The sequence below is a fragment of the Homo sapiens genome, chromosome 14 (assembly GCF_000001405.40).
Source record: "Homo sapiens chromosome 14, GRCh38.p14 Primary Assembly".
In the NCBI taxonomy this organism is placed as follows: domain Eukaryota; kingdom Metazoa; phylum Chordata; class Mammalia; order Primates; family Hominidae; genus Homo; species Homo sapiens.
This window is the reverse complement of record NC_000014.9, coordinates 96,389,587-96,414,147: the sequence shown is the minus strand read 5'-3', so window position 1 is coordinate 96,414,147 and position 24,561 is coordinate 96,389,587. Positions and strand designations below refer to the sequence as shown.

The window sequence follows — 24,561 nt, the reverse complement described above, 5'->3', positions numbered from 1 at the left end:
GGGAGAAGACTGACTTGATCATCAGCAACACTTGTTTTACATTTTACCTGAGCAAGGTACAAACTTCCTCCATGTGTAAGCCACTCTACATTTTGGGGGTAGGTTTGTTACATCCCACATCCCAAAATTGGATTGCATGCCCACCCCTTAGCCAATCATCGGCAAGAAGAATAGAACCATCATGGCTAGTTTGGATCAATCAGGATTTTCCCCTGGAATGGGAATAGAATCTCCCTTCTCTAGATTTCATGGGCAGTGTGGACACTTGAACTTAACAAGTCATGGCTCTGCTGGCAAGGAAGACAGTGGGGTGGCATCATGACAGGAAGCCAGTAGCATTTACAACAATCTAATATTCACTTTTCTGAGTTACATTATGGAGTCATGGCTTTTCACATACTCAACTGATTTCAATTAAGCATAATGTATTAGTCAGGATCCTCGTGGGAAAGAAACAGCATATTCAATGTTGGGTAATTTCAAGAGAGTTTAATAACAGGACTGTTTACGAAGATGTGGGCAGGGTGTAGGGAAACCACGTCACCTGGAGCCAGGAACAGGTGCTCTGTACTACTCCTAAATCCAAACGTGTTGAGTGGGCAGGCAACGATTAGAGCCCAGGGACAGGGGTTGCCCGGCAGGCGCAGTGGCTTGGGTTCAGAGACTCAGCCTACCCACAGCAACTCTGCCGAAGGGAGCTAGGGGAATAAGTGATCTGACCTCATTCTTCTCAATTCCCCTATCCTCTCACCAGTGAGCCCCACTGGCCAAACCCAGTTGGGAGCAGAGGACAAGGTTGCTTACTGATCTAGACTACAAGTTTGGAGCAGGGTGGAGAAGAGCAGAGAGTGGCTCTGGAGGGGCAGGTGGGAAGCAACCAACAGACAGAATCACTTTTGCGATGCTCGCCTTCTCACAGTGTGGCTGGTGGGGACCCTCTTTGTCCTCTCAGGCCTACTCAGGACATCTCTGAACAGATCTTGGCTCTGTAGCATCAACAATAGGTTCCAGCCTATCCCAGTTTTCACTGGCCCAAGACACAGAATCAACTCCCTCCCAACTCCAGAGTCCTGGAGTTAACTTCTACTGGAAAACAGACTTACAGAATACAATTTGTGTACTGGGGGTGCTCAGAAGGGCTGCTGTTGGGACATTTTTCATAGTGACAGAGCTTATCTTTTATAAGGTCATCAGCTGACAATGATTTTTTTCCAACCTATTATGTTAGTGACTCTTTCTTTACTTAGAACCGGTTTCCTTGGCTGTTAAAACTTCCTGTGTAGCTGGGAGCAGTGGCTCACGCCTGTAATCCCAGCACTTTGGGAGGCTGAAGTGCGCAGATCACCTGAGGTCGGGAGTTTGAGACCAGCCTGGCCAACACGGTGAAACCCCATCTCTACTTAAAATACAAAAAATTAGACAGGAGTGGTAGCATGTGCCTGTAATCCCAGCTACTTGGGAGGCTGAGGCAGGAGAATCACTTGAACCTGGGAGGTGGAGGCTGCAGTGAGCCAAGATCATGCCACCACACTTTAACCTGGGTGACATAGCAAGACTGTCTCAAAAAAAAAAAAAAGTACTGCAAGGCCAAGGGAGAGCTAAGAAAGTACCAGGAGTCACGGCCGGGCGCAGTGGCTCGTGTCTGTAACCCCAGCACTTTGGGAGGCGGAGGCGGGTGGATCACCTGAGGTCAGGAGTTCGAGACCAGCCTGACCAACATGGTGAAAACCCATCTCTACTAAAAATACAAAAATTAGCTGGGTGTGGTGGCGGGCTCCTATAATCCCAGCTACTCGGGAGGCTGAGGCAAGAGAATTGCTTGAACCTGGGAGGCGGAGGTTGCAGTGAGCTGAGATTGTGCCATTGTACTCCAGCCTGAACAACAGAGTAAGACTTCATCTCAAAAAAAAAAAAAAAAAAAGAAAGAAAGAAAGGAAGAAAGTACCAGGAGTCCTTGCAGCTCACCTTTCTTCTTCCCATCCCAAGTCTATCTTATAGGGATTACGATTTAGAGTCCATGATTAGAACTCTCCTTTCAAAAGCCAACCCTGGTAAATCTGGCAGAGGAAACCCTTCTTTGGAGGGCTCTGTTTTATAGACTTCGTCTCTAAAAACAAAACGAAAAAGACTTCCTGTGACAATGACAAAGAGACAGAAGCAGAGAAAAGCAGAGAGGAAAGTAGGAGAATTTACTGAGCTCCCCATGGCTCCCAGTCCTTGGCGCCCAGTGGCATCTCTGACCATGGGTTTTGTAAGACATTGTGTATGTCTTTCTAACATGTCTTCTTTCTGATTAAGAAAGCTGGATTCTGTTGCTTGCAAGCAAAAGTCTTACTCAGCTCACTCTGACTTCGAACGGATGCCACATCTTCTGCCACGCCCCCTTCAATTAGACTTGTTGGGGACAAACTTGTTTGTTTTGCGTAATCGGTCTTGTTGTATCTATACCCCCCACTGACTTCCTCATCCTCCTGGATTATTTAGAAGCAAATCTCAAACACAAATATTATTTATTACTTCATTAATCCTATTGCAGCTAGATTTGTCAATTATAAAATACTTAGCAGTATTTGGTCTTGTTTGAGGAATCCTCCATAAATTCTATAATTTTTCCTTTATTTATTTATTTTTTTTTTTGAGACAGGGCCTCTCTCTGTCGCCCAGGCTGGAGTACAGTGGTGCGATCTCTGCTCACTGCAACCTCTGCCTCCAAGGTTCAAGCAATTCTCCCACCTCAGCCTCCTGAGTAACTGGGACTACAGGCGCGTACCACCATACCCAACTAATTTTTGTATTTTTTGGTAGAGATGGGGTTTCACCATGTTGACCAGGCTGCTCTCAAACTCCTGATCTCAAGTGATCCGCCTGCCTTGGCCTTCCAAAGTGTTGGGATTATAGGTGTGAGCCACTGGGCTGGGCCTAATTTTTCTTTTAAAAAATTAAAGTTTTTGCTTTTTAATTTCAGTTATGTAATCCAACTGGAATTGACTTTGTGTGTGGCATGAGGTAGAGAATTTTGGAAAGTGATGAAAGTGTTCTGTATCCTAATTGTTGTGGTGGTTGTACAACTGCATGCAGTTGTTGAAACTCAGGACTATAAAAGGTTAACTTAACCGTATACAATACAGTAAATTTATTTATTTATTTGAGGCAGGGTCTCACTTTATCACCCAGGCTGAAGTGCAGTGGTGTGATCTCAGCTCACTGCAGGTTAGACCTCCCCAGCTCAAGCAATCCTCCCACCTCAGCCTCCTGAGTAGCTAAAACTACAGGTTTGCCACCGCACCTGGTTAATTTTTGCATTTTTTGTAGAGACGTGGTTTCGCCCTGTTACCCGGGCTGGTCTTGAACTCCTGAGCTCAAGCAATCCTCCTGCCTTGGCTTCCCAAAGTGCTGGGATTATAGGCAAGCACCACTACACCTGGCTTAGTACACTGATTATACCTTGATAAATCATTTAAAACCATCATTTGTCATTGGGGAAATGCAAATTAAAACCACAGTGACAGGATGAGGGCATGCCACAAGGACAGGAGCTAACACAGGAGCCACTGCTCCATGTTTTCTTTGGGGAACCATCTCTTCTCCATTCTCAGTCCATTCAGTGTAGGAGGCTTACTAGAGAGTGAAGTCTACTCAGAGCAGAAAAGAAACCATAAAAGAAAGAGAGAGAGTCAGTGAGCACTGAGGACATCGTTGAATCCTCTGGGCCCAGCTGTTCCTGAAGTCCGTTGTTGAACTTGTTCATTATTTTGCTTACTTTGGTTGGGACAATCAGTCCGGAAGCTAGCACAGTGGTCAGCCAGTCCATTGACTCATAATTGTTTTATAGTGGACACTTAGCTGGACGCTCTGAGGGAAGGGATTATAACAGGAATAAAATGACCATGACCTGCTCCTTGAGGTGATGGCATCCAAAGTAGTTGAGTAAACTTTACAAGGAAAGAGCATGAAACCTGTGGTCCCTGCCCTCAAGGGGTTCTCAGTCCACCAGGGGAGAGACAATTAAACAAATACAAAGCATTTGATGCAATAAGTGTGATGAATCCCTAAATATCTCCTTGTTATATATAATATATTCCATTGACCATATCATTCACTTTTTCACATTTAGCATTTCTGAAATTAGAACATATCTGGGATCAATGGTGTATCATTGTGGTCAGCCAGGAATCGCTGGCAATGTCGCTGCCGGTGACTCAGTGACCTTGAACACACCATTGCTATTGTTATCACTTCAAGTTGAGTCAACTACTCGCGTTGATTTAATTGCCTTTTAAAAGAGTGTACCGTGATTCAGCACTGAAATGGAAAGGTAGTGCATAGGCACAAAGGCACAGAAACAGAGCACCAAACGTCAATTTTACATTAGTCAAGAGAATGTTGGAAGAATGACTGTGGCTCATGTTTTCTTGCAACGTAATAACCACGTACTTCAGGAGTTTTATACTGAGTTGTGTGGAAAAAGACAGAATGTGGTGTGATTCAGAGATGGACTCTGAATATTAGGAAGTTTAGGGAATACTATAATCACTATATTTTACTTATATTTTCTTTTTCTTCCTTTATTTATTTAGAGATGGAGTCTCACTCTGTTGCCCAGGCTGGAGTGCAGTGGTGCGATCTTGGCTCACTGCAACCTCTGCCTCCCGGATTCAAGGGATTCTCCTACCTCAGCCTCCCAAGTAGCTGGGATTACAGGCACCTGGCACCACGCCCAGGTAATTTTTGTATTTTTAGTAGAGACAGGGTTTCGCCATGTTGGCCAGGCTGGTCTCAAACTCCTGACCTCAGATGGTCCACCCGCCTCGGCCTCCCAAAGTGCCGGGTTACAGGCATGAGCCATCGCACCCAGCCTATATTTCTTTTTAATGTATGCACAAGAATTTACGTGACAAAAATATGGGTCTAAGTAAGTCTAAAAGAGAGCTCTTTCAATATGTTTAAAATACATACCATAAGTGATAAGCAAGCTTTGCTATAGTTTCATAGGCAGCATATTTTTCCTTCTTAGAGGCATATAAAACAATGAAATCCCTTAGAATTGAATGTGCTTAGAGTCAGTAAACTCTGCTGGGTGCTTATTATGGGATAGGATTCAGGAGTGGGAGAATACACAACTCGCCATAGGAAGTTCCCTCCACACACAGATTACAAGGTGTTATGGCTGAAATGTTACCTAAAGGAAAGCTAACGCTCTACTTACGGGGTCCAGGGCTTTGGAGCGCGCCCAAGTCATCACCGTCGACAGTAAAATAAATAGCTTTCGCTTTTCAAAGTGGCTGACTTCTTCACTGAGTGCTGTGGGGCCAAAAAGCAGAGTGGTTATTTGGACCCATGCACAACTTGGTTTCTAAATCACGTGTACTATTAGTCACCAGTAGGAGCCACTTAACACCAGGGTGCTGTTACCTCTGATGCTTCTTTGACCTGTTCCCATCACCGTTCTTCAAATTCCCCCTGCTTTCTCGCTACCTGTATCCGAAATACGGATCCCAGCAGGTTGTTCACAACCAAGCATTTCAGTCTCATCAGTGCTCTCCACTGCAGCCCTTTCTCTCCACTATGCTCATCAGTTGCCTGATCCCTTCTGAGCTGAGCTCAGAATTGTGGCCCCTTTCTGTTTTCTGGCCTCTGGCCATGTGCTTTTACTTTTTGGGAGGGCTGGTGACAGTAAGGATCATAGGATCCTTATTAGAACAACTCATGGGCTTTGTTGAATTCCCCCCACTATGAGATAGGTATTCTGGGTTACAGATGCAGAAACCGAGGCACAGTTTGCCCAGGATCATAGAGGGAAGTGATGGGGCAGAGTCCAATCCAGGCTGTCTGGGTGCCAGGCCCATGCTGTACCCACCATGCCACCTAGCCAGCTGCCCAGAAAAGGGAGCAGGCTGGGGATGGGGCAGCAGAGGCCCCACATCAGAAAGTAAGGGCCTCTTAGGAGTTCCCATAAGGCAACCCTGTTCAGTGAAAGCCATGGTGGAAGGAAGTAATTCGGGGTGTGCCCACCCTTCCCACTCCACCCCTGGGGCTGTGGGCTGTAGTGGAGAGCACTGATAAGGCAGAAACGTTTGGTAATCAACAACTTGTAGGGATTCATATTTAGGATAGAGGTGGAGAGAAAGGAGAGCATTTTATTTCCAAAGGGTTTGCTGCTTTGCAAAAAGGCTCTCTACACATTTAAGCATTGATTCTCCTTGAATGTATTTGGCTAAGGGATTCCATTAACATATTCTTCATGATGTATAATTTTCAAGAAACATATCGGCCGGGCGTGGTGGCTCAAGCCTAATCCCAGCACTTTGGGAGGCCGAGGCGGGCGGATCACGAGGTCAGGAGATCAAGACCATCCTGGCTAACACAGTGAAACCCTGTCTCTACTAAAAATACAAAAAATTAGCTGGGCGTGGTGGCGGGCATCTGTAGTCCCAGCTACTTGGGAGGCTGAGGCAGGAGAATGGCGTGTACCCGGGAGGCGGAGCTTGCAGTGAGCCGAGATTGCGCCACTGCACTCCAGCCTAGGCAACAGAGCGAGACTCTGTCTCAAAAAAAAAAAAAAAAAAAGAAAAGAAAGAAAGAAACATATCAGAGCTGCAAAGTGAGGTCTAATTAAACTGTCAGAGGGGCTAAGTAATGCAGCTGCCATGGTATGATTTTAGTATCATGAGGTGATTCCCTAAACAAAAGCAACAAAATGAAATGCTGATATCCTGGATCTAAGTGTATTGATTTCTACCCTAAAACGAGAAAGCGTTATTGAATTAAGTCTAAGAACACTATGATCACGTATTATTCCAAACTTTGTGTTACTTTTGTTTCTATTTTTAGTCTAATAACAAAAATTGTCTCTTCAATTTAATTTTGCTCTTTTAACCTTTCTGCCCTGCCGAGCTTTAGTTTGGCCTATTTTGTGAATACTTGGCACACTTTGAGGTCCTCTAACTGGGTTATCCTTTTTTATTTATGATATTTATAACAGGTCTAGAATGATCTGCTTGTTCCCCTTTGAACACACCCTTCATCTATATGCAGATATTTTCTCTCCTTTCTAATAATGTATTCCTTTCTCTTCTGTCATCTTGCCTTCCTTCCATAGTATCTGCGAAAGGCAAGGTAGGAGAATTCTAAGACATTTAAAAATAATTTAATAAAACATTATTAAAAATAATACATAGCTGGGTGTGGTGGTTCACGTCTGTAATCCCAGCCCTGTTGGAGGCTGAGGATCGCTTGAGGCCAGAAGCTGGAGACCACCCTGGGCAACATAGCTAGACTTTGTCTCTACAAAAAATTTTTTAAAAATAGCTGGATGCACACCTGTAATTCTAGCTACTCAGGAGGCTGAGGCAGGAGGATTGCTTGAGGCCAGGAGTTTGAGGCTGTAGTAAGCTATGATATACTGCTGCACTCCAGCCTGGGTGACAGAGCAAGACCCTATCTTTAAAAAAAAAAGAAAGGAATACATATCCATTGCGAGAAAAACAAAATCTAAGAATGTGCAGTAGGTAAAATGACAAAGTCCCCATCCCTTACCAACCTCATGCCCTACCAACCCCATACCCCCCAGGTGACTCTGGTGACAGATTGAAGGATCTCTGACTATATTTTCTTGCAGACACAAACACTCTATATCTCAAAAATGAAGTAATTCAGCTAAAAGTTTTCCTCTAAATAGAAAAGGAAAATTTTCTTGATGATTCGAACCTCTTTATTAGAAGGAAGCAGTAAAACACTCTACATTTTAAAGCTCATGAAAGGAAATGCAGTGTCAAAGCTTGAGAAAAGGTTACATTTCCTTGAGGGGGAGAGGGTGGTCCTAAGAAAGGCCAATGCCCATCTGTGACAGCAGGAAGTCAGTGGTTAATGTCTGAAATTCACAATCAAGAGGCACCTATGGAGGCATTTGGATGTATTAAATGAGGTTGCTTGGCCGGGCACAGTGGCTCACTCCTGTAATCCCAGCACTGGGAGGCTGAGGCAGGAGAATCACTTGAACCCGGGAGGTGGAGACTGCAGTGAGCCAAGACAGTGCCACTGCACTCCAGCCTGGGTGACAGAGCAAGATCTTGCCTCAAAAAAAAAAAAAATGAGGTTGCTTTGGGGGGACATGAAACACAAAGGCACCATCTTACTAAACAGCACTTCATTCTCTTAGACTTGAGGTCCTTACATTACAGTTCATTACACTTTTCAAAGCAAGATGACAGAGCAAGATCTTGTCTCAAAACAAAAAAAGAGGTTGCTTTGGAGGAGGTGAATCACAAAAGCACCACCTTGCTAGACACCACTTCATTCTCTTAGACTTGAGGTCCTTAGAATTCATTACATTTTTCAAAGCACTTTCAAAATACAAGCACTCTCTACAAGCCTTCCTTGACCTTTGGCATCAGGGAACATTTGTTGAATTGAATCAAATATTTAGAGTTGGAAATAATTCCTCCCCTCTTAAAGTCACGTGGCTCTTATACACAACTTCCTTGTGAGCGCACCCCCCTTTGTTGAGTTAAAGTTTCTCTTGGGTGCCTTGTCTCTTGTGTGATGACTTGTGCCTTGGGGTACCTTTTCTTATCTGTCTTTGTATCTGCCCTGTACATTCAACCCCACCTCCTTAAGCAGCGCCTATGGAATGAGTCAGGTTGCATTTTAAAAGTTAAATGTTTTGGTAAGGCATTGTGGCTCACGCCTGTAACTCCAGTGCTTTGGGAGGCTGAGGCTGGAGGATGGCTTGAGGCCAGGGGTTTGAGACCAGCCTGGACAACATAGCAAGTCCCCATCTCTGCCAAAAAAAAAAAAATTAGCTGGGGTATGGTGGCACAAGCCTGTAGTGCCAGCTACTCAAGAGGCTGAGGCAGGAGGATCTCTTGAGCCCAGGAGTTCGAGGCTGTAGTGAGCTATGATCAGGTCACTTCAGCCTGGTAATGTTTCATTTTAAAAACATATATTTATTTTATTTTATTATTTTTGTAGAGACGAGGTCTTGTCACGTTGTCCAGGCTGGTCTTGAACTCCTGGGCTCAATAATCCTCCCACCTCGGCCTCCCAAAGTATTAGGATTACAGGCATGAGTCAGTGTGCCGGCCTTCATTTTTTTGATAATTAAAAATATTCTATTCTTCAGAAGTATCTATCCATATTATTATCATGGATTTCATACTTTAGGTAAGTCTCAGACCAGTTTTTCTATAGCCCTACTTTGTCTAGTGTTCCTAGATGACTATTAGGTGAAGTAGGCAGCACTACAATAGCATCCCTGGAGATAAAAGAGTACACCTCACTGACCAGAGACTGCCCAGATGGCTTCCTCCATTTGCTGTGAGCTCTCAGTGATGTTATAAATAATAACATCACACTCCAGCAGGCGCATGAGAAGGTCTTCTCGAGAGATGGCCTGAAAAAGAAAATTGACAGCCATTTGCAGCAAGACGCTAACAAGGTAACCTTCATATTTCAATGAAATGATAATTTTCAAAATACATATGCTACACTGAGGAGTCCCACAGGAAACACTTGCAGGAGGATTTCTATTTAAAATGAAATTGTGACTCTCTTCTGTGTGTAGTTTTCAAGTAACAAAGAAGTTTATGAAAACAGCTTGGAACAGATGATTTAAAAATTGCATAATAATCTTAGGTTCTATTTCTGCATGCTGTTTAAACTCCAATTCAGAAGGGAAGAATTAGAACACACTGAAAGAAAATGAGTGAGGCATTTAAAACTAATTCAAACTCTATGCAAGATTATTTGAGCAATTATATACCACGAATCACTCAGAAGTGCTGATGAATGATGAATGTGGATTGTCATAGAATTCTCAAGATGGATTTAATCTGTTCTCTTTCTAGATGTAAGGTACCTTATTACAGTTGACAGCCGGGAATATTTTAAAAATACAGAAACTTTTAATGATTAAAAATGTAAAGTTTATACATTAAATAGAAGTAACTTTGCTGCTTTGCTGATCATTTTTGGTGTTTTTTTTTTTTTTTTTTTTTTTAATTTGAGACACAGTTTCACTCTGTTTTGCCCAGGCTGGAGTGCAGTGGCGTGATCTCAGCTCACTGCAACCTCCCCCTCCCAGGTCCAAGTGGTTCTCATACCTCAGCCTCCCAAGTAGCTGGGACTACAGGCACATGCCACCATGCCTGGCTTTTTTTTTCTTTTTTGTAGAGATGGGGTTTCACCATGTTGGCCAGGCTGGTCTCAAACTCTTGACCTCTGGTGATCTGCCCACCTTGGCCTCCCAAAAGGTTGGGATTACAGGCGTGAATCTCGGTTCCAGCTGTTGATCATTGTGTTTTAACTAGTCAATCCTTGCTGCATGAATACCAGTACACTTCCCAATAGTACAATACCTTGAGTGCATTAAGAGAACCATAAAAGGACCCCGCATTTCCAAACTAAGATTTGCATTAGTTGTTATTCCCATTGTCCTGAACATCAGCTATTTTCCGCAGTTCCTTGACCAACTGTATTAAAGCAGAACCTTTTAGACCAAGCTGGGTCTCTTCCTTTATTGAAAAACAAAGGGAAGTTGATGCCTTTCCTTAGGAAATGACAGTTCTGCCTTGGCAAGGTTAATACGTCCTTGTTAAATTCAACAGCATGCACTAGGTTGCTAGTTTCTCCAGCCCTGTTCCCTAGATTCTTTTGGATGAATCTGCATTAGTTTTCTAGGGCTGTTGTAACAAACTGCCACAAACTGCATGGCTTGAACAACCAAAGTCTCACTGTTCTGGAAGCTAAAAACCCAGGATCAAGGTGTTGTAGGGTTGGTTCCCTCTAAGGGCTGAGAGGGAGAGTCTGTTCTGTGCCTCTCCTCTAGCTTCTGCTTGTTTGCTGGCAATCTGTTCCTCGTCTTGTATATGCATCACCCTGATCTCCACCTTGATATTCACATGATGTTCTACCTGTGTGCCATCTGTGTCTAAATTTCCCCTTTTTATAAGCTCACTGGTCATATTGGATGATAAGACCACTTTAATGACCTCCATTTATTTATTTATTTATTTATTTATTTATTTATTTATTTAAGACAGAGTCTTGCTCTGTTGCCCAGGCTGGAGTGCAGTGGCACAATCTCAGCTCACTGCAACCTCCACCTCCCAGATTCAAGCAATTCTCCCTGCCTCAGCCTCCCGAGTAGCTGGGATTACAGGCACCCACTATTTTTGTATTTTTAGTACAGACGGGGTTTCACAATGTTGGCCGGGTTGGTCTTGAACTCCTGACCTCAGGTGATCCGCCCGCTTGGCCTCCCAAAGTACTGGGATTACAGGCGTGAGCTACTGCGCCTGGCTGATGACCTCCATTTAATTGGATTTCCTCTGCAAACACCCTATCTCCAAATATGGCCATATTCAGAAATACTGGGGGTTAGGATTTCAATATATCTCTTGGGGGTGGGGGAGAAACAACTCGACCCATACCACCAGCCATTCACTTCCTTCTCTTGGCTGAATGTGCAAGAGGGAAGCCACTGACAATTTTGATCCAAACATTGATTTTTACTTTACCAGTAGCATGACAGTGGGAAAGGAAACTACCTTCCCAGTACACCTAGGATGGATCAAGATCCAGAAATGACACATGAAAGAAAAGAAGAAAACACTGGGAGAATACGAGGACTCAAAGATGTGTATTCTAGATGTGGCCCAAGAGAAAGAAGATACAGCATCTATGTTTCCAGCTTGTAAAAGCAGGTGGGAGTGGTGTCCACAGAAAAACACGCACACGTGTCAAATTATGGTTGGCTCTATTTAAGATGAAACAGCCGCATTTTCAGGAGAATGGTTGTCCTGACCCGATGGGGACTGACCATTTTTGTGCATTCATTTGTTCACCCAACAAACATTTGTGGGCCCTGCTTTTGACTGTAGTAATAGAGGCAAAAATGAATAATATATAGCTGCTGATACTAAGAAGAATTGTGTGTGTGTGTGTGTGTGTGTGTGTGTGTGTGCATCTGTGTATGCACTTTCTTGAGAAGATTTATATTATACCAAATAATTATGGTCTAATGTAGACAAGGGCCCAACCAAGCACATATGAAGCCGTTGTACAAATGAGAAAAAAGGTAACCTGCTTGGTGAAAAAATTATAAGAAGGGCTAAACTCTGGGGCCCAGGACAGCCAACATAACAGGCTGCTCTTCAGCCCCTACTCACGCCCTTAGCCAGGCACTCTTGTACAGTGTGCAACCTGTACAGCCAGACACAGAAGACCCAAATGTGGAAAGGGCTGTCATAGAGGTACATCTGAGATTCAATGGACTAAGAGAAAGACATGATTTTGTCTCATAGGAGAAGATATTTGAGTTGGGCTGGAAGGATGAATACAAGCTCACCTGGCAGAGCCCAGAATGCTCAGGGAATAGCAGGTGACTTGTTGAGCCAGGTAGAGGCACCTTTCATAACCTGAACCAGGCTAACGGTTTCCATTCTCACCTTTCCCTCACCTTTTATTCATTTTTTGCTGGTCTTCTCTGTATCATTCCAATTTGAGCATATGTGCCGCTGAAGCGAGCACTCTCCCCCACCTTTTCTGCCACCTTTGTGTCTTCCCTGTGGTTCCCATAACCCATGCTCTTTCTCTGCCACAGCGCACCATATACTTTCCCAGGCATTCCCCCTTGCATGGTGTTTCCTTCCTCCCTTACTTGTCTTGCAAGCTCCACTCAACCACGGAAGACCAGCCTCAGCCCCACCATCTCCAGTAGATCCCAACCTTCCAAGGGAGGGCCATCTGCAGGACTTTGTGCTAATGGAGGCTCCAGGATCTCAAGATCAGAGCACAGGAGGCCCCGATCTGTTTGGCAGGAGGGATTTGAAGCTTCATTTGCCTGTCTCTCTAGATAAGACTGAGAATTCCTTAGGTGCCCCTTTCAGAGAGCCTTGGGTGATGCTCTGTGCATGCCTCTGTCCCCACATCTACTGTCACAGAGTCCCTGCCAAGCCGTGAGCTCCACGTTCATCTGTGGATCATTAGGGTGCACAGGAAACATTCGCAGAATCAAATTCAGGTGAGTAGTGAGAGATGCTGGAGATCAGGACTAAGGCACATGGCTATGAGAATGGAAAGGAGGGGCTGACTGGACACCTGACAGAGAGGTGTGCTGAGGACCCCGTGACCAATAGGATTCAGGAGTCAAGGGCAAGGGAAGAGCCCACAGCTCTCTGAGGTTTTCAGCTTTGATGGAAGGCGAGTGCATAATGAACGGGATAAAAGACACTATTCGTTGTCTACAAACTTACATTTCCTCTTCCTTTTCTCCAACAGAACCCCAATTTTGCTTCAGATACTCCTCAGCCTGCGGGAAATTAACTCCCTCTTCTGGCTTAAAGGATGAGCCTAATTGATCTAAGGGTAAGTGACTGGCTCAGGAAAGGGACAATGATTCCATTCACGACAGTGAGACTCAAAGAGATGCTTGCCAGGGACTGCTGGCAATGTCCATCGTCCTTTCTCTGAGACCTTCTGGAAGTTTGCTTTGCCAGAGCGTCACTGTGTATGAACTAAGGCCCTGGACTGTTGCAGCCTTACTGCCAGCCTGAAGATAAAGTCATCCCTCAAGGAGGGCAGAGCCCAGGAAGGGGCAGGAAGAGGAGCTGGAGCCTGTGGATCAGCTCTGAAGCCGGTTCCACTTCTGGGCCACTAGCTACATAAGCTGATGAATTTCCTTATTTATTAAGCCAGTTTGGGTCACCTCTGTTTTCTATTACATGCGGTCCAACACAGCCCCAATTGATAGAGATAGCAAGGTCTTTAATAAAAATCAGTAGTACAAAGTCATACAAAGAGTGGTTTTGGGCCGGGCGTGGTGGCTCAGGCCTGTAATCCCAGCACTTTGGGAGGCCAAGGTGGGCAGATCATCTAAGACCAGAAGTTCAAGACCAGCCTGGACAACTTAGTGAAACCATGTATCCACTAAAGATACAAAAAATTAGCTGGGTGTGGTGGCACGCGCTTGTAGTCCCAGCTACTCGGGAGGCTGAGGCAGGAGAATCGCTTGAACCCAGGAGGCGAAGGTTGCAGTAAGCCGAGATCGCGCCACTGCACTTCAGTCTGGGCAACAGAGTGAGACTCCATCTCAAAAAAAAAAAAAAAAAAAAAAAAAAGATTGTTTTTGTAGCGGGGTCTAATAAATATGATTTTGGATATGTTGATTCAGCAATGCCTGCAGGACAACCGGGGACTGGTCTAGGAGGCAGTCGGATTTGGAGGCTGCAGACAGGCAAAAAAAGCACTGGCTATATGGGGAGCTGAAGCTATAGGGTTGGATAAGATTTAGGAAGGTCATCTGTTGTAGGAAGGGAGTGAGCTCTGGGGAAAACCGCATTTAAAGGGTAAAAGAGGAAAAGGAGCCAGAGAAAGAAGCTGGGAAGGAGGACTTGGGCGCTTAGTCAGTGCAGAGCCGAGGCACAAGAAGGGAAGGCGAGTTTCTCTCGGGAAGCCAGGCTGCTGCTGTGAAGCCAGGTGAGCTAAGCCCCTCGGGAGTCAGGGGACTGCTGGTGACATCGGCCAGGGCACCTCCTGTGAAGTGTTGTGGGCAGGGCCAGCCAGCATTGGATAGACCAGTGAATGGCGGGGGTGAAGGGGTGAGACCTGCAAATGCGGCTGGTCTCCTGAAGTTCAGTGGTGGCAGGGGCCGGGGCAGAGAAAGAGGCTGGTGGCCAGCAGGGAGGCCAAGTTAAGTGTTTTTTACAGCAGGAATGATTTGAGCATATGTGTAGGTATAGAGGAAGAAGCCAGTGGCAAGAAGAGAGAGAAGGGAGGTGAATGGGAAAGAATACCCGGAAGACAGGGGAAGGAGGTGAATGGGAAGGTCCCAAAGATGTCTGGAGGGGATGCATTCGTCCATTCCACAAGTGTTTATTGAGGCCACTTTGTGGCAGTGGCTGTGTTAGGTGCCACAGATACATGGATAAACACAGGGATAAACAAGTCACGGTCTCCACCCTCAAGGAGCTGACAGTCAGTGTCCATGGACCCCCACGATAGACAGGTGATAACAACGAGTGTGAAAAGCACTATGATCTAGGCAGGCAAAGGATGATATGGGAGCTCAGAAAAGAGCTCAGAATCCAAACTGGGAGTGAGGGAGAAGTAGGAATCATGAACGGCTTCCTGGAGGAAGAGACACAACTCTTGAAGGATGAATAAAAAAAAAAAGAGAGAAGGCCACTCCAGGGTACAGCATGTGGAAAGCTGTATGGTAGGCTCCAGAGAGTAGCAGGCAGGGTAAGGGAGGAGTTGGCCCAGGAGAAGAAGAGGGCCACTTCTTCTCAGACATTTAAATGTCTCAGGACTAGGACTGTGTTGAATTTGTCACGTGGAGACAGCATTGTTTCTGGAGACAGCAGTGGTATATTATTCCTGAGTGGTGCATTACCAAAGGATGTTTCTCTTAAAAAATTATTTTCATAAATATAAGAGACAGGATCTTGCTATGTTGCCCAGGCTGGTCTCGAACCCCTGGCCTTAAGCGATCCTCCCTCCTCAGCCTCCCAAAGTGCTGGGATTACAGGCGTAAGCCACCGCGCCTGGCCTATTTCTCCTTCACAGATGGCACCCATCATGGCACAGACTCGTCTTGGATAATGCAAGGCAGAATATGCTGAAGAGGAGAACTGTATGAGTCTGAAAGTCCAACTTAGATCCATCCTTTCCAACACTATCTAATTTAAACTCTTTGCTTTGGCCGAAAATTAAAAGTGGGGTCTGTGAGGTAAATCTCCATTACAGGAGAAAGCCATTCCCTCAACCTGGCCATGTCTGTGGAAGAGAGGGGAGGGGAGGCAAACAGTAAAACAAGTTGTCAAGGCGTTGGAGCGGAAGGTGACTCTTCCCTCTGTCTACTCCTGGCCAGAGCCTCCGGGACTTACAGAGTACGTCTCCACCGCAAAGTCAGGCCGCGGGCTGTCAGGCTTGGACAGCGTGCCCACAATCTGGAATGTGCCTTCCTTCACTTTGGTTGAGGAAGCTTCCAGCATAGCTGACTTATTTTCATCTTCCTCTTCCTCTTCCTCTGTAATTTCTTCAAGCGAAGCCCCAACTACACAGTTAGATAGAAACTGCAAGGAAACAGAAATTTCCCAAATGGTAAGAGAAAATTAGAGTCAGGGGGCCAGTGAATGATGATTCTAGAAACTTACCTTTCCCGAGTGCTTGCTGGGTGCCACCAAGGCAAAGCAAATGCTTTGCACACTGTCATCTCATTTAAGTTGATTGCATTCCTGGAGGAGTGGGTACTGTTATAATTCCCCATTTTACAGATGAGGAACTCAGGGTCAGAGAGCTTAATTAACTTGTTTCCGGATACTGCACTCCTCTAGCAGCAGGCAGAGCTGGGTCACAGTGATGATGTTTGTGTTGTCCAACAGAAATATAGAAATGTAATAGGAGCCACATAGGTTATTTTATTTTATTGTTAAAGATGTGGTCTTGCTATGTTGCCTAGGCTGGTTTCAAACTCCTGGGGTCCTCCTGCCTCAGCCTCCTGAGTAGCTGGGACTACAGGCACTTATGTAGTTTTAAATTTTCTAGTAGCAACATTTTAAAGAGTGAAAACAAAGGGTAAAATTAATTTAAATGCTGTGAGGTTGGGCGCAGTGGCTCATGCCTGTAATCCCAGCACTTTGGGAGGCTGAGGCAGGTGGATCACTTGAGGTCAGGAGCTCGACACCAGCCTGGCCAACATGGTGAAACCTCGTCTCTACTAAAAATACAAAAATTAGCTGGGCATGGCGGTGCACACCTGTAGTCCCCGCTACTCGGGAGGCTGAGACAGGAGAATTGCTTGAACCTGGGAGGTGGAAGTTGCAGTGAGCCTAGATTGTGCCATTGCACTCCAGCCTTGGCAACAGAGCAAGACTCCGCCTAAAAAAAAAAAATTAAATGCTGTGGTATTTAATGCAATATATCCAAAATATTATCAACTTAATATGTAATCAATATAAAAATTATTGAGATATTTTATTTTTATTTGAAATTCAATCTGCATTTTACACTGAAAGTACATCTCCATTTGGACTAGCGACATTTCTTTTTTTGAGACAGAGTCTCATTCTGTTGCTCAGGCTGGAGTGCAGTGGTGCAAGCATAGCTCACTGCAACCTCAAACTCCTGGCCTCAACCAATCCTCCGGCCTCAGCCTCCTGAGTAGCTGGGACTATAGGTGTGTGCCACCACGCCTGGCTAATTTTTTATTTTTATATTTATTTTTGTAGAAATGGGGTATTGCTGTTGTTGCCCAGGCTGGTGTGGACTAACCACATTTAAATGTTCAATGGCTACATGTGGCCAGTGGCTACAGTATTGAATAATGAAATAGAAAGAAGTTGGCGAAGTTTCTCTTCTTGCTTTCCAAAAGCTATCCTTAGAAGTGGCTTCTGTGGTGATTAAGAGTTTCATTCGTTTATATGTCAATACTTACTTATATATGTCAACAATCATTTTATTTTAATTTATCTATTAAGCATATATAAATAATCATTGCATTACCATACCTTGGGAATAAAGATATAATAAAACCAAATAAACAGAAAGTCCCACCTCATTTATTTTGATAGAAAACAGTCCAGGTTAGCATGCAAGATTGCCAGCTTCAACCTCCTAGTGGAATATTTTTCTCCCAAGTAAATTATGTATGTTTTCATTTCATTTATCTCTCAAACATACATATTCAATTTTATTATCCTCTTTCACAGTTGAGGAAACTGAAGCCCAGCAAAAAGAGATGGGGCTGGGGTGGCATTGCCCAACTGGATTGTAAGCCTAACGACGAGACACAGCTTCCATTTCTCTTATATTCCTCATATTCCCACTCCCATATTCCTTGGAGCAGATGATCAGTAATTACCTGGAATTTGAGAAAGGCCCTAATTAATTAAGGACCAACTAGAAAATTCTGTTATTGAAAAGTTTTTGAAAAAGATCTCTGGACAGAGCGTGGTGGCTCATGCCTATAATCCCAGCACTTTGGGAGACCAAGGCAGGAGGATTGCTAGAAAAAGATCTCTGTATACTAAAAGAAGTTTCATTACAAAAATATTGTTATAAAAAATAATCAAGATCTTTGGGAGGCCAAGGCAGGCAGATCACGAGGTCAGGAGATCGAGACCATCCTGGCCAACATGGTGAAACTCCGTCTCTACTAAAAATACAAAAATTAGCTGGGCATGGTGGCACATGCCTGTAATCCCAGCTACTCGGGAGGCTGAGGCAGGAGAATCGCCTGAACCCAGGAGGTGGAAGTTGCAGTGAGCCAAGATCATGCTACTGTACTCCAGCCTGGCAACAGAGCAAGACTCTGTCTCAAAAAAAAAAAAAAAAAAAAAAAAAAAAAATTCAAAATCAAAAGGGGATTAATTTAAGGAAGGAGATAAACTCCCTTCCCTCATTCTTTTTTTTTTTTTTTTTTTTTTTTTTCTAGAGACAAGGTTTTACTCTGCCCTATGTATACCTCCCAGGCTGGAATGCAGTGATGCGATCACAGCTCACTGTAGCCTCAAACTGGGCTCAAGTGATCCTCCCCATTCTGCCTCCTGAGCAGCTGGGAAGGTAGGCGTGTGCCACCATGCCCAGATTCTCCTTCATTCCTAATCTCAATCATGTTCATATCACCTCCGTTTTTTGTACAGGTGACCCTTGAACAACACCGGTTTGAACTTTGTAGGTCCACTCATCCACTTCTTTTCTTCCACCTCTGCCACCCCTGAGACCAGCCCCTCTTCTTCATCCTCTGCCTCAGCCTATGCAACATGAACACAAAGAGGATGAAGACCTTTAGGACAACCCACTTCTGTTTAATGAATAGTAAATATATTTGTCTTCTTTATGATTTTCTTAGAAACATTTTCTTTCCTCTAGCTTACTTTATTGTAAGAACGCAGTATATTTGATGTGTACAAAATATGTGTTGACTTTTTATGTTATTGGTAAGGGTTCCTGTTAACAATAGGTTATTAGTAGTTTAGTTCTGGGGAGACAAAAGTTATACACAGCCTGCAGTCCCAGCTACTCAGGACACTGAGGTGGGAAGATCACTTGAGCCCAGGAGCTCGAGTCCAGCCTGGCCGACGTTAATGAGACCCATGTCTCTAAACATACATAAATAAATAAGAGTTATGTGCAGAGTTTCGACTGTCTTCTCTATATCTGTATCTCTTTTTTTGGCAGATTTTTACTCTGTTGCCCAGGCTGGAGTGCAGTGGTGTGATCTCGGCTCACTGCAAACTCTGTCTCCCAGGTTCAAATGATTCTCCTGCCTCGGCCTCTGGAGTAGCTGGGATTACAGGCGCAAGCCACCACACCTGGCTAATTTTTGTATTTTTAGTAGAGATGGGATTTTGCTATGTTGGCCAGGCTAGTCTCGAACTCCTGACCTCAAGTGATCCGCTTGCCTTGGCCTCCCAAATTGCTGGGATTACAGGCATGAGCCACTGTGCCCAGCCTGTATCTGTATCTTTTTGAAAAACAAAACCCCTAACCCCTGCGTTGTTCAAGGCTTCCCACTGAATTTAGAGGATAAACCAAACTCCTGGCCAAGGCCATCCATGACCTGGCCCTCTGTGCTGGCCTCTGCTCCACTAATCTATGTAATAAATTTCTATGGAGCACAGACCATGAGTGCATCCCGGCTTAGGAGCTGAGTAGGGCCACATTCTGGGCTCCCTGGGCCCCTTCCTCCATTAAAAAAAAAATTTAAACATTATATTTCTCAATTGCATGCTATAAAGAAAAACACATTCATTGACTCTAAGATTTCATTTGTTTCCTTCTGATTTTAAAAGAAATTAGCACACTTTTTGTGGGCCCCTAAAAGTCTCATGGGCCCTGGGCATGGTACTTGCTGCACCTAATGAAGTGGGCCCAGGAAGCCCTGGTGCACTGCCCCCTAGCACTGTGCATACAAAAACCGCCAACCCTATTCCTACTTTGGAACCTGTGCTTTTGCTGTGCCCTCTGAGAACTATTTTCTCTGGCTTGAGCCTCATCCTGTGTATGTTAGATTAAATGTCACCATTTTTTTTTTTTTTGAGATGGAGTTTCACTCTGTTGCCCAGGCTGGAGCGAAGTGGTGCAATCTCGGCTCACTGCAACCTCCGCCCCCTGGGTTCAAGTGATTTTCCTGCCTCAGCCTCCAGAGCAGCTGAGATTATAGGCGCCTGCCACCACGCCCGGTTAATTTTTGTACTTTTAGTAGAGACAGGGTTTCACTATGTTGGCCAGGCTGGTCTCGAACTCCTGACCTCAGGTGATCCACCCACCTCGGCCTCCCAAAGTGCTAGTATTACACCACGCCCACCCTAAATCTCTGTTTTTTGATGGATGCATTTTAGATGGTACACTGGGTTAAATAGCGTCTACCCCCACCAAATTCCTGTCCTCTTAGAACCTGTGAATGTGGCCTTATTTGGAAATAGGGTCTTTGCAGATGTAATCAAGTTAAAATGAAGCCATATTGGATAGGGTGAGTCCTCATCCAACAACTGGTGTCCTTATGAGAAGAGGGAAGTTTTGACACAGAGACACAGGGGAGAGAACACCATGTGAAGAAGGTGGCAGAGATTGGAGTCTACTGCCAAGGGGTGCCAAGAATTATTGGCAACTACCAGAAGCTAGGAGAGGGGCAAGCAACAGTTCTTCCCCTGGAGCTTCCAGTAGAAACCAACCCTGCTGACACCTTGATCTTGGACTTCTGCCCTCAAGAACTGCGAGAGAATAATTTCTGTTTTATAAGGTCATCCAGTTTGTGGCAATTGGTTACCACAGCCCTAGAAAACTAATACAGATTGTACGTACTGTAGCCTCATCCTATTTTAAGCAGATTTGTCCTGTTCGAAAGTGCAGTCATTAGCCTCAGAGAAGTCTGTCCAGGGTGAGATTAGATTTCTCTGTAGCTCTAGAGGACAGAATTCAGATGGACGGGTCCTACCCACAGGGAATGATAAAATCATGGCTTTCTTTTGACAACTGATCATATTAGCATGAAGGGCCCCAGAGCCCTTTTTCTGAATATCTTCATTTTCCAGGGATAAAGACACAGAAAGGTGAGGAAACTTAATGGAACTCGGGGACCCAAACAGTGTCTGGTCCATAATAGATGCTCAAAAACCATATATTGAAGGGATGGATGAATGAAAAACGCTTCATGGGCAATATAAAAATTTGATTTACTCACGCCTGTAATCCCTTTTGGATTTACTCGGCCTGTAATTTGGGAGGCCGAGACGGGTGGGTCACGAGGTCAGGAGATCGATCGAGACCATCCTGGCTAACACAGTGAAACCCCGTCTCTGCTAAAAATACAAAAAATTAGCCGGGCGCGGTGTCGGGCGCCTGTAGTCCCAGCTACTCGGAGGCTGAGGCAGGAGAATGGCGTGAACCCGGGAGGCGGAGCTTGCAGTGAGCCGAGATCGCGCCACTGCACTCCAGCCTGGGCGACAGAGCAAGGCTCCGTCTCAAAAAAAAAAAATTGATTTATTTTCTCGTTTAGCTGCCTGCTTCAAAATCGATGGAAGGGTAGAAAGAGAACCTAGGAGGGGGCAAGAGACCTGGAGTCTCTGTCCAGGTTCTGGCCTCAACTCTCTATGTGATCTTGGGCAAGTCCCTGCCTCTTAGCCTCAGTTTCCCCTCATTAAAAGGAGGAACAGGGGATGGACCAGTGATTTCCAGACACCTGAGCTTCCATGTAGAATCTCTTGACCAGCCTGGGTGCGGACTGGGGTCCAGGGGGCATTGGTGGTGCCCAGGACGCGGGACCCTCCCTGAGGAAAGGCCCCGACAGCGCCCTGGGGCGCAGACCCTCGCTGGGTTTGCGGACCGGGGGCCGAGGGCTGGGAGCTGAGAGCTGGCGTGAGGCTCTGGGCCGCCGCCGCCGCTCACCTTCCCGATGTTTCCGCTGCTGTAGGAATCCAACAGGTTTATAAACACCCTCTGGGTCCGGATAACCTTCTCCGTGAGAGCAGCAGTTTCCTCTTCTTCAGCCATGGTGGGAGCCGCGCTGGTTGCTAAGGTGAAAGCGCCACTCGCTTGCCAAGGAGGCGGGGCCCGGGCCAGGGAGGCGGGGCAGGTTCTCTCTGGGGGCGGGGCCTTGGCTCCGGGCAGTTTGCCGGGCGGGGAGGGGCGTGTCGTGGGCGAAGCAGGGAGTGCCGGGCGGGGCGGTGCGTGTCGTGCCCGGCGCTAATCAGGGCGTGCCAGGCGGGACGGGGCAGGCTGTGCCGGTCGCTGGGCGGGGCGTGCCGGGTAGGGCGGGGCGAGTCGTGCCGGGGGGTTGGGCGGGGCATGCCGGGCAGGGCGGGGTGTGTAGTGCAGTGGGCTGGGCGGGGCGCGCCGGGCGAAGCGGGGCTCAGGGCTCGCAACTGCGCGCGCTGTCGGCTGCTGGGCGCCAGGCGGATGTCCCTGCGAGTGCTTTCCGCGGCGCCGCGCGTGCAGCCCGGGTCTCACCCTGGCTTGCTGCCCACTGGGAGCCCTTGGGCAGTGCATGGTTTCTTTCCGAAGCTCCCTGGGCGTCTGTCCCGGGGGGCCATGTGATTGCTGTGCCTTTTTAATCTCCATTGTTCGGAAAGTCTGGAAACACATCCCTGTGTCCGCTTGACCCGATGACTAAAAATAATGAGAATTCTGAAGAAGAGGGAATGGCCCACAGCCTAGGCCTCTCCCCGACACGTGGGAGTTACTCAGCACGCTCCCATGGGGTGGTCTGGCCGGGGCGACGGGACGTAAGCCTCAGCTGCGAAGAAAAGCTGTTGCCATGGAGTTTCGGGCTCCCGAACACCCGAGCGACGCTAGCGTGGTCCCGCCTTGCGGCAGGTGCGGCTTGGTCCGCCGGCTCAGCTCCCTTGGGGGTTGTTTCCAGACGCACGTTCCGGGAAGACCCCTGGTGTCGGCTGGGGGCGACCAGAGCCCGTAGGCGCCCGGGATTCGCTCACATTCACCAAGGGAAGAAATTTAGACTTGACCGTTCCACAAGAGATTATACATGCAGTTGCTGAGATAAATCCACAAATTAAAAGATAACATTCACCTCGGTGATCACTGGACCATAAAGGTTGTGGTGGACTAAGAATACGCAGTTCCCTTGGAATAGCCTGATCATATTGAACTGTTTTCATGCCTTAAGCATTAACTCCTTAAATGCAAATATTTAACACTTGCAGCAATTGTGTGTGCGTGGTTTCTTCTCGTTCTTTTTATTATTTTTAATAGAGACAGGGTCTCACTATGTTTGTTGCCCAGGCTAGTCTCTAACTCCGGAGCTCAAGAAACTCTCCTGCCTCGTCCTCCCAAAGTGCTGGTATTACAGGCATGAGCCACCACGCCAGCGTTCTTGTTCTTTTTATTTTTAATTTATTTTTTTGAGATGGAGTCTCGCTCTGTCACCCAGACTGGAGTGCAATGGCATAATCTCAGCTCACTGCAACCTCGCCTCCCGGGTTCAAGCGATTCTCCTGCCTCAGCCTTCGAAGTAGCTGGGACTACAGGCGCCTACCACCGTTCCCGGCTAATTTTTGTATTTTTAGTAGAGACAGGTTTTCAGCATGTTGGTCACGCTGGTCTTGAACTTCTGGCCTCAAGTGATCCACCCGCCTCGGCCTCTCAAAGTGCTGTGATTTACAGGTGTGAGGCACCCCACCTGGCCTTCTTCTTTTTAAAAAATACTGGTTGTTTCAAAAAACGGAGGTGGCCCAACATCTTCAGACAGCTTGGAGGCTCTGGGCTTTCAGGCACTCATGAGACTTGGCTTTGAGTTTCAGCTCTCCAGTGATTTGTGGGAGGCTGGGACCAATCTTTTAACTTTCCCTATGCTGTTAAATTGTCTGTAAAATAGGAGTGATACCACCAGCCTAACAAGGCTGTTAGGATTAAATAAGACATATGTGAAGCATTTTCTGAAGTGGTCGCCAAAGGTGAAATTATTGCTTTTTTTTCCTGCAAGGCTAAGGCACACTTGTACAGATGGGAGCCTTTATATTTCGTTTTTCTGTCCCCACCCCATTTTCTTTTCTATACATGCAACTCTCATTAAAACTTGTTTTGATAAACTAACGCTTTGAAGTTTTGCCAACTCAATTTGGGAACAGTTTGCTCATACCAAATTTATTATTTTTTTGAGATGGAGTCTTGCTCTATCCTTTAGGCTGGAGTGCAGTGGCGCGACCTCGGCTCACTGCAACCTCTGCCTCCTGGGTTCAAGCCATTCTCCTGCCTCAGCCTCCCCAGTAGCTGGGATTACAGGCGCGTGCCACCACACCCGGCTAGTTTTTCTATTTTGAGTAGAGAATGGGGGTTTCACCATTTTGGCCAGGCTGGTTTTGAACTCCTGACCTTGTGATCCACCCGCCTCGGCCTCCCAAAGTGTTGAGATTACAGGTGTGAGCCCCCAGGCCCGGCAATTTTTTGCTTTTCTTTAATCAACAAGAAAGTAATGTCAGTTTAAATGTAAAAGTATTCATGCAAAATTAGTGCAAAACTTAGAAAATATACTTCAGCATTCTTTCAAATGACTTACTAGTTCAACTATTCTAAAATTCACGATTCATTTTCAAATTTTTAGTT

General features: G+C 45.9%; 1 protein-coding gene across 10 annotated transcripts in view, besides 2 other annotated features; it reads right to left on the bottom strand.

Moving 5' to 3' along the window:
* AK7 (adenylate kinase 7) overlaps positions 1-22,020 on the bottom strand; it is a 97,300-nt gene extending 75,280 nt beyond the window's left edge. For all 10 annotated transcript variants that reach the window (XM_006720021.3, NM_152327.5, NM_001350888.2 and 7 more), the window contains exons 1-4: positions 21,889-22,020; positions 15,885-16,073; positions 9,283-9,391; positions 5,207-5,301 (exon numbers count right to left, since the gene is read on the bottom strand). In XM_006720021.3, coding sequence (XP_006720084.1) covers positions 5,207-5,301; positions 9,283-9,391; positions 15,885-16,073; positions 21,889-21,993 — 498 coding nt within the window. In that variant the 5' untranslated portion in view covers positions 21,994-22,020. The remainder of the gene's footprint in view (positions 1-5,206; positions 5,302-9,282; positions 9,392-15,884; positions 16,074-21,888) is intronic.
* Positions 1,493-1,625: a silencer, noted in NCBI's record as "fragment chr14:96878860-96878992 (GRCh37/hg19 assembly coordinates)". NCBI's record gives its function as "represses an EF-1alpha promoter that drives an FKBP-Casp9 reporter gene in an ReSE screen in HepG2 liver carcinoma cells {active_cell/tissue: HepG2}" and the evidence as "EXISTENCE:reporter gene assay evidence [ECO:0000049][PMID:32094911]".
* Positions 21,951-22,460: a silencer, noted in NCBI's record as "silent region_6054". NCBI's record gives its function as "represses an Ori minimal core promoter by ATAC-STARR-seq in GM12878 lymphoblastoid cells {active_cell/tissue: GM12878}" and the evidence as "EXISTENCE:reporter gene assay evidence [ECO:0000049][PMID:35858748]".